The 13,827-nt window shown below is 32.9% G+C and overlaps 1 protein-coding gene across 6 annotated transcripts in view; it reads left to right on the forward strand.

The window, feature by feature from the left end:
* CNTN1 (contactin 1) overlaps window positions 1-13,827 on the forward strand; it is a 379,977-nt gene that overhangs the window by 178,538 nt on the left and 187,612 nt on the right. The gene's annotated exons all lie outside the window — the stretch shown is intronic.

Here is a 13,827-nt window from a genome sequence, read left to right on the forward strand (position 1 = left end):
TGAATTTTGTGCTCTGTCTACCTGGAGGAGAGAGATGAGTGAGGATTCTGCCAGGACAGATAAACATAAACCACTGTCTCACAACCTTTTATTCCCTGGAATAATCCTAACTAATATTTCTCTTGCTACCATAAAAGACAATTCTTTGTTGGGAGTCAGTTATGTAACTAGTGAGAAATCCCTAAGTAGTGACTTGGATCTGTTACAGAGAAAAAAAAAAAAAAAAAAAAAAAAAAAACAGAAGAAGCAGCTAGAGGATGATAAACACAGGGTATGGTATTCTGTGCTATGTTCAGGAAGCAGGCTGGAGCTGAGATAGATTGAATACTATGGGACTTACATAATACCTAATTGCAATAAGTTTTCATTGTATGACTCTAGGGAGAGGAGAAGTATGGCTTACCCTTTAAAAGATCATTCTAAGCAATTTTATAGAGAGTAGACTACAGGGAGGTCAGTTGGGAGGCCTGGACTACAGTAGTAGTGGAAATATGGGGCAAAGTGGTTGGATTTGGGATATTCTGAAGCTAGACTCTAAACATCTTGCTAATAGATTGGATATCAATGGAGAGAAGAAGGACAATCAGTAATCTCTGTTTTGTGCTTGATCAACTGAGCGAATGTTAGTTTCATTCTCTGAAATGATCCCCAAAGAGACAGAGGAAGAGGTAAAATGTTTTGTATAAAATGTTAAGGTTATATTTTGCATTTTACATTTCCAAAATAGAATTAATTTGGCTAAAAATGATCATGTTCAATGGAGTGAGTCAGACCAACTTGCATAATTCTAAGATAATTTGAATACTCATCTGTTATTTTTCTTTTGGCTGGAGGTTATTGTTGGTGGTGGTAGTTTGACAGAAAAAATGCAGATTTTTTGGCCAACTATGAGAAGGAAAAACTTGACACAGAAAAAATCTGGTTTATTGAGTGATTTCTAGAAATGGAAGGTATTTCTATTTTCCTAAAATGTGAATTTATATTTGTTTTTTGTCCACCACTGAATGAGATTGGATAGTCTTTGAGAGGAAATGATAAAAAACTATTTTTACTTTTATGGGGCCCCTTTCTTGAAGTTACCTCGGAAGTCATCTACTGTGAATCTTGATTTTATAGTAGGAGAAAATTGAGCTATTATAAATACCAAATGAATTTTAAAAAGATCTTACATATTTAATCAGTCAGCACAGACCTTGAGCTTAAGAGATTTCGGTAGGGTTTTTCCGTTGCTTTGTTTGTGTGTGTGTGTGTGTGTGTGTGTGTGTGTGTGTGTGTGTGTGTGTGTTTTCCCTATCATGATACAGAAAATCACAATCATTATTTACAAAATTAAAAACTTTTAGTGTATAGTTATGTCAAGTGTAACAAATCAATATCAAGTATCAAAATCATTAAATGAATTTGTGTGGACTCAAATAAAGGCTTCCACAATATAAATGAAATGCTCTGCTTACCCTGCCTTGAGTATTTCTAACTATATAGTTATCTTGAGAGGGCTTAGCGAAATGCCTCTGATATTCAAATGGCCTTTGAAATACTGATTATACTGTTTACAATAATAGTTTGTATTGCATGTACTAAGCATTTTTTCTTTCTTTTTTTTTTTTTTTTTTTGAGATGGAGTCTGGCTGTCACCCAGGCTGGAGTGTAGTGGCGCTATCTTGGCTCACTGCAACCTCAGCCTCTTGGGTTCAAGCAATTCTCCTGCCTCAGCCTCCTGAGTAGCTGAGATTACAGGTGCACACCACCACGCCCAGATAATTTGTGTAGAGATGGGGTTTCACCATATTGGTCAGGCTGGTCTCGAACTCCTGACCTTGTGATCCACCCACCTCGGCCTCCCAAAATGCCGGGATTACAGTCGTGAACCACCGTGTCCAGCTGTACTAAGCATTTTTATAGTCATTTTCTTGTTGCATATTTACAGCAACCTTATGAATCTGGTACTATTATTACCCCATTTTAAAAAATGCATAAACTTAGGTTGAGAGGAAAGATAATTGCCTCAAACCATAAGAAGGTAAGCAGCCCATCCAGGACTTAAACCCCAGTCAGGCTGACACCAACCCCATGCTGCTGTCTACTCTCCTCTGCAATTTTAGTAGTTAGTAACCCAATAAAAGTATCACAATCATGTGACTAAATTCTTACAGAAAGTGGAACATATTATAATGAAGACAGAGAGGCATTAGGTAAGAAACAGAAAATGCCTAAGTAAAAATTCTAAAAAGTGCTATAAGATATACAAATTATTTTAACCTTTTTACACACAAATTGCAAGAATTATCATTAGTATATATTCCTGAAAATTTTAGCAATTTGATTTCCTGTCATATTATACATTATATGTAATGAAATATGGTGTATTATAAAATGTATAAGACATAAGCTTAACTCATGCCTCAAAGGATAGTTATAATCCTCCTTATTGAACACAACTTTGACAGAGCTTTCTTGGGTTAAGCTTTTGATTATAACACATGTATTTTAAAACATAATATAGATTCTCCATATTGGTTTGATTGCTAAAATATTTTTTAAACCAAAACATGTAAAATTTGAGCAATTTTTCTTTGCTTCTTCCAAATGTTCCTGTTAAAGTTTTAGTGTGTTAGGCCAAAGGATATTTATAATGATATGAAAAGCCTTAACATATGTTTTTGCAGTCCATGATATTTGCCCAAGGATCTTCCTTTTAGAATACAATACAATTTTAAGATGTACCAATATGTTTTAAAGGCCATATCTGTAAAAACCCAAAACATAATTCAATTCTAAATTTCTCCACTCTTTCATCCTCTACATTTTTTTTTGTCAGTTTATTACTCTGTAGACTAAAAATCTGTAATGGTTCCTCATTGCCCCCAAACTAAATATGTAACAATAGCTATCAACTATTGGAATATCTGCTGTGTACTGGGCCCTTTAGTACATTACCTCTCATCCTTCCAATCACCTGCTACATATAGAGACAGGAAAACTGGAGCACAGGGAGCTGACCTTGAAACCCATGTCTATTTGATTTGAAAATCTTGTATTCTTTCCACTAGAAATGATGGTACCTCCTATTTAGTAAATGCCTACCATGTTCTAGGCACTATACTCAGGAGTTTGGGTTCAAATCCCAGCTCTACCATTCCCAACCCATGTATTCTTGGGATCATTACTTAAACTTTCTTTGCCTCAGTTTTCCTATCTATAAAATTAGGTAAATAATAATAATAAGAGTACCTTATAGGGTTATTGGGAGGATAAAATGAATAATCTATATAAAGAATTTAGTATACAACCTAGTAAATACAAATACGTATTAGTTATCATTATTTTTATTAGGAAATACTTCAGATATACAAAAACCTATAATGATAATAAATATCAAAGTCACAACGAAATTTAAAGGATAGAACATTATAAACACAATTGGAGCACATGTTATTTTGTAGCTCAGTATTTATCCTTCTTGTGCATGCTTTTGTTCTTTCATTATAGATGTGTATATTATTTTACAGATGTCTAAATTATAAAGCAATATATAGAAACATTTTCAAATTTTTTAATGGATGAGACCAACTGCATTTTTTCTGTAACCTGCTTTTTATGATAAATATGACGCTTGCAAAATCCATCATAATTGACAAATGAGGCTCTAGTTCATTTATTTTCACTGCTATGCACTATTTATGAATGAAACTGCAGTGAAACTAGAATAAGTCTATTGTAGGAATGAAACTACAGTTCATTCATCCACGCTATTATTGATGTATATTTAGGTGTGTTTTAAAACTTATACTATTTCATAAACTGCTATAGCATAATAAATGATGATAAAAATAATATAAAACACTTTCTAATGCTTACTTCTCAGGCAATGATTTACATATGTTGAATCATTTAATCTCATAAAATCTCATAGGAAGAACTATTATTATCTACAATGTACAGATGAAGAAAGTGGGTCAACTTGACACATCTGGTACATGGTGTTCCTGGAAATAAAAATAAGGTAATCAGGCCAAGATGTAGCTGTCTTGACCACATGTGCCTTTGGGCACACGTATATACAAGAGTGCTCTAGGACTAGTTCTCCATCTTGTCTGCACATTAGGATCATCTGGACACTTAAATATAATGACTCATGCCTAAACCTCTTTCCAGATAAATTGACTCAAAATAGCTGGGGATCAAGTCTAGACATAAATATTGTTTAATCTGATTTTTAATTAAACTTCTTGTTCTGAGATAATTGTAAATTTGCATGTTGTTGTAATACTATTTACCATTTACCCAGTTTGCCCCAGGGATACCATCTTGCAAAACCATAGTAAAACATCACATCCAGGATTGACATTAATACAGTCAAGATCCTGAACATTTCTGTCACCACAATGATCCCTCCTGTTGCCCATTTGTATCCACACCCATTTCCCTCCTGCTCATCCCCTCCTTAACCCCTCACAATCAGTAATTGGTTCCATATTTCTGTAATTTTGTCATTTCAGGAATGTTATAACATTCTATATAAATGGAAAGTCAATTCCAAAAGGTTGCATACTATATAATGGAATTCCATTATATAGGATTATATTATAGGATTCTATTACACAGTGTGGGATCCCATTATATAGGATTTCATTATATATACCCTTTTGGGATTGACCTTTTTTAATCTATCAAAATTCTCTGCAGATTCATCTAGGTTGTTGCATGTATAAATATTTCACTTCTTTTATAGCTTATAGTAGATCATGGTATGTAAGTACCACAGTTGGTTTAAACATTCACCTGTTGAAGGATATCTGGATTGTTTTCAGGTTTTTTTGGCTATTAAATATAAGCTTCTATGAATATTTATTTACAAGTTTTTGTTTGAATGTATGTTTGCATTTCTCTGGAATAAACACCAAGGAATGCAATTACTAGGCCATATCACATCCTGACTTATTCTTGTCTTTTAAGTAAATTGTGTTAACTGGCCAACACCTCTCTCTTTGATCACACTTAAAGGTCAAAAAGTCAGTGTCTATCTCAAGGTAACATTATTTTTTATCTCCAATAATGATTTTACCACCAATATTTTTAATTTTGATATGAATATTATTTCTAAGAAATTGGAGATCACAAAATAGCTACAGGTTAAATATTGCTGACATCATTTAGTAAAAGCCAAAAAAAAAAAACCCAGAAAACAGTTTAAGGTTTTCTAATCTACAGAGCACCCTACAAGGAAATTAATATCTGTATGCAACCATCTCACTAGCTTTGTTTACCAGACACGGCATGTGAGAAAGAAAACACTTCAAGTGTTTAAACATTTCTAAAATCAAATTCAAAAAAGCATACTTTTCTAATGAGATGTTCATTGACTTGAAACCAAAGTAACAAGAATGCTTTGAAGAAAATATACCCAACAATTTGTATAGTAAAGTGAATATAGTGTTCCATTTAAACCTCATAGAACCCCATGAAAAAATTAACCAAGTAAGATTGGATGATATCCACATCCTAGAGGCATGTTTCTTATTTATTGGAAATTTGACTAAACCATCAATATGACCACCTTTATTCTCAGATATTTTTAGGATACTAGAGCCAATGAATATAATGTTCTATTAAGGAGAATATGTTTAAATAATCACAGAAATTAAATATCTTATTCCATTATTATTTAAAAAGTTGTATGTGTCTATTTTTATACCAAAACATTTCCTATTAAACATATATGTATATATAATAACTTTTCTTATTAGCTTTGTTTTTTCCTACCTTCTGCAACCAGAAATTTCTCTGCTTCCTTGAGACAGAAACATAATTGTGTATCTGTTGGACAAATACTATTTTCCTTTTTTAACAAAACTTTTTGATAGAAGAGCTTTATGTTGGCATCATTTTAATGAATTCAATACATTCATTAAAGAAGTGGTAAGCCTAATAATATATTTGCTTCTGTGCATTATTTTTCTCTAAATTTTGGGCTACTTGTCTTTGTATACTGTTTCAAAACCTAGGCACTCAAGTGTGTCATTTTCCATTGCAATTAATCACTTGGTTTTGAGCTGCTCTAAGAACTGAATTTCGCCAAAATAATTGTGAGTATGAACTTTCCTGTTTGTGAGCTTCTTGAACAAGTTGGCATATTTTCCCTTCGACAACTGTCACCATCTGACAATTTGCTATTATAGCTAGACTAACATTAAGATTTAAGTATCTAACTCTGGGCTCAGTGAAGGTCAGGCATATTTAGACAGTTTTCCACAGAAAAGTTTGAAGTTAATACCCTGAGTTTCCTTGAATTGCATTTAATAACTTCCAGGTTAAAACCCCAAATGGTAGAATCAAATAAACAGACTCATGGCATAGGTCCTGAGAGATGAGCAACTGGAGAAAGAGGTTCAGATGAGATTATTTCCTCTGAAAGTACTAGTTCCTATTGTCATGGAGGAAAGAAGATCTAGATGAATATTCATATAACCCAGTTTTCTGCATTGCACATTACAGAAAGTCTACAGAGAACTCTCTGGGAGAGTGAGTCAGAAACCAAAATCAATCTGGGACAATATATCATTTATTTTCATACTGGAATGACTTTCAAATCGTCTACTTTTATTGTTGTTAATGACACAAGTTTCTCCTATGTAACAGTCTCTGAATCAAACTAAGAAAAGGCATAAATATACTGATGAGGTTTATATAACCCATGTCTAAATAATCAGAACAAATCACTAATGGCATTTAAAATATTCCAAAATGCTTGTTACTTCAACTTGTTCTCTCTATACCATTTCATATGCCTGTTTTTCTGATACTTACTTCTTTTGTTGCCTTATCCAATCACAATCAGGATTAAAGCTTGGGAAATTGAGAAGTGACCCAAATTTATTATAGGCAATTATTTTTCCACTTCTGCCTATCTGTCCCTGTAAACTTTCCCCTCATCATCTGATGCCTAATATATTGAAGTCCCCATCCTGCTATCTTCACCTCTTCCTTCCCCACCAAAGAAACAGTTTTTTCCTTTTTTTTTTTTTTTTTTTTTTTTTTGAGATAGAGTTTTGCTCTTGTTGCCCAGGCTGGAGTGCAATGGCACGATCTTGGCTCATAGCAACCTCTACTTCCTGGGTTGAAGCGATTCTCCTGCCTCAGCCTCCCGAGTAGCTGGGATTACAGGCATGCACCACCAAGCCCGGCTAATGTTGTATTTTTAGTAGAGACAAAGTTTCTCCATGTTTGTCAGGCTGGTCTCGAACTCCTGACCTCAGGTGATCGCCGGCCTCAGCCTCCCAAAGTGGTGGGATTACAGGCGTGAGCCACTGCACCCAGCCAAGAAACAATTAAAAAAAAAAAAAGAACCCTGTTCTCTGATCATTCACAGTAAGTTATAAATAGCTCATAAAATTACTAAACATATACAAAAACAAATCACATTTTACAAAGAGGGCAAAATGGTCTAGACTTAACATATAGAAAGCAAGTCAATTTTTTCTCCAACTACAAATGACTGACATGTTCAATTAGTTTTACCATTTTTAAAAAAATCGGAGTCCATTATCCAGAACTCACATGAGGAAAAGTTTAGACAAAAATGGTAAACCCAAATCACCTACGCAAGATCTTTATGAATGGGTGTGATAGTCCATTATGTGTAATGTTACTGAACTAGTAGCTGCAAAACTTTTGTCTATTTTCCATTTTCTGATCCCTCTTAGGAAGTAATAACACATTTTTGTAATTCAATAGCTATCGCCATGATTCCCGAAATAGGGGCCTACTAGAGTATTTTACATTTTTTGAGTGACACCCAACTTCTTTATCTTTCAGATCTCAATATTTTGTTTTATGAAAGAATCAAAGTAAGAAACCTAAGATATGAAAAAACACTTATTTCCAAAGGAAGAGATCATCCTAGTTGTTCGAAGGCTTACATGCTTAATGCACTTTCTATTTGTTAATGAGACTTGTTCACATTATATAGCTTTCAATTAGTTGTTTTGAATTAATTTTTCATAGTCCATATAAAATTATAATATTACAAAAATAAAATCAACACGACTGAGGAGTCTGAAGGGCAGCGAGGTCACATATCCCAGCCTTGGTTTATTCAGAGATTGATTAACAGGCTGTGCCTTGGAGTTGGCTCATGTGCAAGAACTAAATCAATGTCATGGTTTTTCATGTTGAAATTTTAAGGCACCATGATGACTTTAATTATATATATTAAATTTATCAAATATTATAAACAGCACACTTTACTGTTTCTTTATAGAACATTGGTTGGCAGCTCTTTTCGAAAACCAGTCACCCATCAGAATTTTATTTACTACTTCTCCAAAGGATTTTCCAATATTCTTCCTACAGTTAAGTAAAGGCCATTTCTCTGGCATGTGTTTTCTAAAGTCCCTTAGCTTACTCAAATATTCTAAGAAAACAACAAAGATCCTGCTTCTCTAAGCAATACCAGACATAAAATTCCCCAAAGAGAAATAAATTGAGCATTTTATGCTGAACCAAGAATGTTCTCCTTCTCTCTCCTTTTTTATATGTTATGCAAAATGAGCCAAATGATGGGGATTAGGAATGAGAAAAAGAAAATTAAGAAAGGAGTGAGACAAAAATCAAGGGTCTAGTATTATATCACCTAAAAATAAGATATGTGTCAGGCAGCAAGGAGGGAGATTACAGAAACTAACTGAAGGCTGAAATAAAAATATGCATAGATTTGTTCTTGATTTCCTATGTATAGGAGGAAATTATGGTCCTCTGTGAGAAGACAGGTTATGAAGTTCACAGAGACACGTAAATTCTTTGTTACAATCAATCCTACTTGTGTTATGACTTTTGCCTTTTGTGAAACTTTATGTCCTTGTTTTTTTTCTCTGTTGGGCATTTAGAAATTTGTATCAAGATAAAGAAAAAATAGGTAACTCATTAAAAGCAAGAAATTCGTAGTGATTATTGCATGCTACATGAAAATAAACAGCATTGTCTTATCAAACAAGCTGAATAAAGATTGTGAAAAATGTCTGTAGTAATACCTTTGCTCCAAGAATTTTAGTGCTAACTGCTGCAAGGAATACAAAATGGTGTAATACAGAGTGTACTCTCAAGGAACAAATTTATTTGAGGTGACGCAAAGTCATAAATAATGTAAATATTATATAATAAAAAGTAAAAAGCAGATTAGCAATAAGGAAAAGGCAGATTATATAGTGGATACATACTATGAGTGTATTCATTTATTCAACAACTATTTCCTGATTGTCAGTAAACCTAAAATCAGCTAGATTTTAGAGATCCAAAGATTATTGTGAATTGGACAATTTAGGAAATCTGAGTAAGAGGATTTCCTTTTAGTAAGTTTTTATGTACGTTTGAAGGGGATGTAGGAGAATATTCTTTCCTAAGTGGATGTAAATACGTTTGCTGAGTAAATGGTTATAAAGAAAATAATAAAGTCATCAAGTTTTCAGGATATAATGATAAATACCTTTGTCTGTAATGCCAAGTACAAATACATTTCTGCTTAAATGATATAGAAGTGAGAATGCTAGAAAGGAGAGATTTTAATCATTATTCAAAATATTTGCTATTGGTGCTATGTGCAAAAAGAAACTTTACTCTTAAGCAAGTAGATGATGTAGTAAAAGATTGTGCGTCACTTAGTACTCCTTTGACAATAAGTGTCAGAGAACCCAGCTAAAGCTGACCAAGAAAAGAACAGGTTTGTATTGATACATACGACTGAAAAGTTCAGAAGTAAATATGGCTGTACGAATACTCTGGAACACAGATGATTTAATCAGGAACTTGTTTTTATCCTTCTCTTGACTCTATTTTCTTCTCAGGCTCCATGACACTTTTTTTTTCAGTTTTAGGCTTATATCCTCAAAGCATTCAGTCCGGTAGAAAAGAGAGGGAAACTTTGGTTTGCTTCTGAGTAAAGTTACTGTGTTCTATGCTTGGAACTTCTAAGGTCAGAAGCTTATCTCTTAGCCAATCACTGGGGCTAAAACGATGGAATTACACAGATTTACCCGTAGTAGACTACAAACCTATCTTTCACCTCCTGTGAATAGAAGAATTCAGTAATTTAGTGTTATAACTGGATAAGCATAGAATCTATGTGCTCCCACATACATCCACATAGAATGAGAATGGAGGAAGTTTATTTCCCAGAGAATAATTGTTGTACTGGAAACAAGTGCAATGCAGAAGTTTTGTAAACCCACCCAAATATTTACTCCAGGGTGTTGTATAATAGCACTATGCTGAAAGGGTTGGATGAAAGAACACTTGGAGAGAGAATGAACACGTACTATGGCTATAAATTGTGTGAATTTGAGCTATATACATAAACTGGAATGGAAAGGGTGATATTCATGTGCAAAATTTTTTGAAGAATGACCTGGTAGAGCTTGGTGATTGTCTATTAGTTTATCCAATAGTAGATGTTTTCATAGTTACACATATTAGGGCTATACTATGGCCAGAGGTTCCTAAACTTTTGCAAGTTACAGCACTCTTAATTTTTCGGTTATTTTTGCATGGCACCCCTTCACCAAAATAAATGATTAAGAAATACATTTAATAAATATTGACTACTCCAGTAGGCCCCTATTTTGGGTATCACAGCTATAGCTATTGACTTACAAAAATGTGTTATTACTTCCTAAGAAGGATCAGAAAATGGAAAATAGATAAGGGCTTTGCAGCTATTAGTTCAGTAACATTACATATAAAAGACTACCACACCCATTCATGCAGATCTCGAGTAGGTGATTTGGGTTTACCGTTTTGTCTAAATTTTTCCTCATGTGAGTTCTGGATAATGGACTCTGATTTAAAAAATGATAAAACTGATTTCACATATCAGTCATGTGTAGTTGGAGAAGAAATTGACTTGCTTTCTATATGTTAATTCTAGACCATTTTGCCCTCTTTGTAAAATGTGATTTGTTTTTGTATATGTTTAGTGATTTAATATGCTATTTATAATTTACTGTGAGTGATCAGAGAACAGCGTTTTTAAAAAATTGGTTTCTTTGGTGGGGAAGGAAGAGATGAAGATAGGAGGATGGGGGCTTTAATAGGCATCAGATGTTGAGGGGAAGGAGTACAGGGACTGATAGGCAGAAGTAGAAAAAGAATTTTCTGTAATAAATTTGGGTCACTTCTCAGTTTCCCAAGCATTAATCTTGATTATGATTGGATAAGGCAACAAAAGAAGTATCAGGAAAATAGGTAGGCATATGGAATGATATAGAGAGAACAAGTTGAACTAACAAGCATTTTGGAATACTTTAAATGCCATTAGTGATTTGTTCTGATTATTTAGACATGGGTTAAATATACCTCATCAGTATATTTATGCCTTTTCTTAGTTTGATTCAGAGACTGTTACATAGAAGAAACATGTGTCATTAACAAAAATAAAAGTAGATGATTTGAAAGTCATTCCAGTATGAAAATAAATGATATATTGTCCCAGATTGATTTTGGTTTCTGACTCACTCTCCCAGAGAGTTCTCTGTAAACTTTCTGTAACATGAAACACAGAAAACTGAGTTATATGAATATTTATCTAGATAATCTTTCCTCTAAGACAATAGGAACTAGTACTTTCAGAGGAAATAATCTCATCTGGACCTCTTTCTCCTGTTGCCCATCTCTCAGGATCTATGCCATGCCTAATCATATGATAGAGCTGAAAATAGTAGTCCATCTTCACTAAGCCCACCTGGTGTACCTTCTAAGCTTAACATGAGTATCAATATTCATGCATACATAGTCTCCTATTGTAATGCTTTGAATTTAACATATTTCATATTTAGTATAAGTAAAATAGTTTATAATAGCAAAGACCTTTTAAAATTATTTTTTTTCTTACTTGCTTTGCACATATGAAGCTTTGATTTTTACATTTTAGCTTCTTTGTGGTTTTATTATCTGAACTGTACATTTGACTCATTTGAGCAAATCTCCTTACAAGCTAGAATATTTAAGATGCATCTGATCGTCTTTCAGTAATTATTCCAGAATATTTATTCATCACTGACTCTATGTCTTGCACAATATATATGCTTTTAATTAGGCCATGTGTTACAATCACCTGAAGATTTCCTCAAGCCTAAATTTTAATCAAGCCTGACTCCAAACAGAATAACTAGAGTTTTGAACCAGGGGAGGGGTATGTTTTTAGATTCCCAGGTGATCCTAATTTGCATTCATGGTTGAGAATGATCTAATTCAAGCAATGCTTTTTTAAGTTAAATGTATTCTTCAGCTATTTGTTGACTATTTCTGGTATTGAGAAAAATGAGGATGATATAGTCATGGTGTCTGTTCTTTTTCAGTCCACATTCTTGTCAATTAAAAATATTATGAAAGTCATACAACTGTGACAGAGAAATGCAAATGTATTTCTCCAAACTTAAAGCATAAGCGTCATAATATTTCAAAGGAAACAAGAAAATTCTAGTGATTTTTGAATTGATATTCCTTTTCTCCCTTTCCAGCTGCCTGCTACCTAGTTCACATGGTTTAGTCACAGGATAAGAGAAAAGTTTTCAAGCATTTTCTACAGATGTGAATGTTTGATATAAAAAAAAGACACTCTGGTTTAAAGAATGTTGCTAGGAAACACAGTTTGAAGATGAACTCCCCTACAGAGCTGTCTTCCATCCTGTAATAAGAAAGTGTGGTGGTAGCATGTCCTCATTTAAAAGCAAAAAAATAATCTATTAACTGTGTATCCAGAGGGAACTTGTTACAGGCTTATTTAAAACTTATTTGGAAATAGTTTTGGTTTATTATATGCACCACAACTTCCAGGAATTCTTTTGTTTTTTAATTGGTGCAAGGATAAAGTTGTGAGCATATAATATTTTGTCCAAATAATCACTATAAGAGAAATGCACTTAAATACAATAATGAACTCATGTTAATTTTTGCTTTAATAGTAATTTCTATTAAAGTAATATATCCTTTATCATAGGAAAATGTGGATATACAAAAAATATGCTAAGATAATAAGGACTGCCCATAATGCCACCTAAGAGAAATAATCATGCTTTGGTGTTATTTATGTTTTATTTCTTCTAAATACTCAAGGCATGTTGGCTAATTGTTGTTATAGGTTTGTTCTGACACACTGCCATTTAGCAAGTAAAACAGTTTAATCCACTTATATTTATTATAATTTCTTATGTACCTTGATGTATTTCTAAAATCTTATTTTATGTTCTTTTAATTACCCATTTTTTTCTTTTTCCTTATTTTCTGCCTTCTATTTGATTAGTTTATGTACCATGTATTATTGAGGTCATAATATCTAATATTTAGCCCTGCATTTTCATATAATCCAGTATAAGCTTTTCCTGATTCTGATTATTATAAAGCATTTGAAAGTGTAATTTTAAGGCTTCCCTAATATTTTTATCATATTGCTCTATTATATGTAAACACATCAAATTATTTAATCAGAATAGATTTCTCTATGAGGAATCACTGTATCAAAGTATCTGAATACTTTTAAGATACTTGATGCATATTACTAAATTATTTCCTGAAAATGTTGTCTTAGTTACTACTTCTTGTAGCAGTATAGGAAAATATTAATCATTGCATCCACATAAACATCGAGTATTGTTAATTTTAATGCTGTGCAAATTTTATCAAATAAAATATATATACAGCATTAAGTTGCATTTTTTATTCATATGTCATACATGTATGTTCATTCATGTAAGTTTAGCATGTTCTTTATTCATTAGTCTATTAGTATTATAATAGTCTTTCATATATTAACTGCTGTGAGTTCCTTATAGCTATGTC

The sequence above is a fragment of the Homo sapiens genome, chromosome 12 (genome assembly GCF_000001405.40).
Source record: "Homo sapiens chromosome 12, GRCh38.p14 Primary Assembly".
In the NCBI taxonomy this organism is placed as follows: domain Eukaryota; kingdom Metazoa; phylum Chordata; class Mammalia; order Primates; family Hominidae; genus Homo; species Homo sapiens.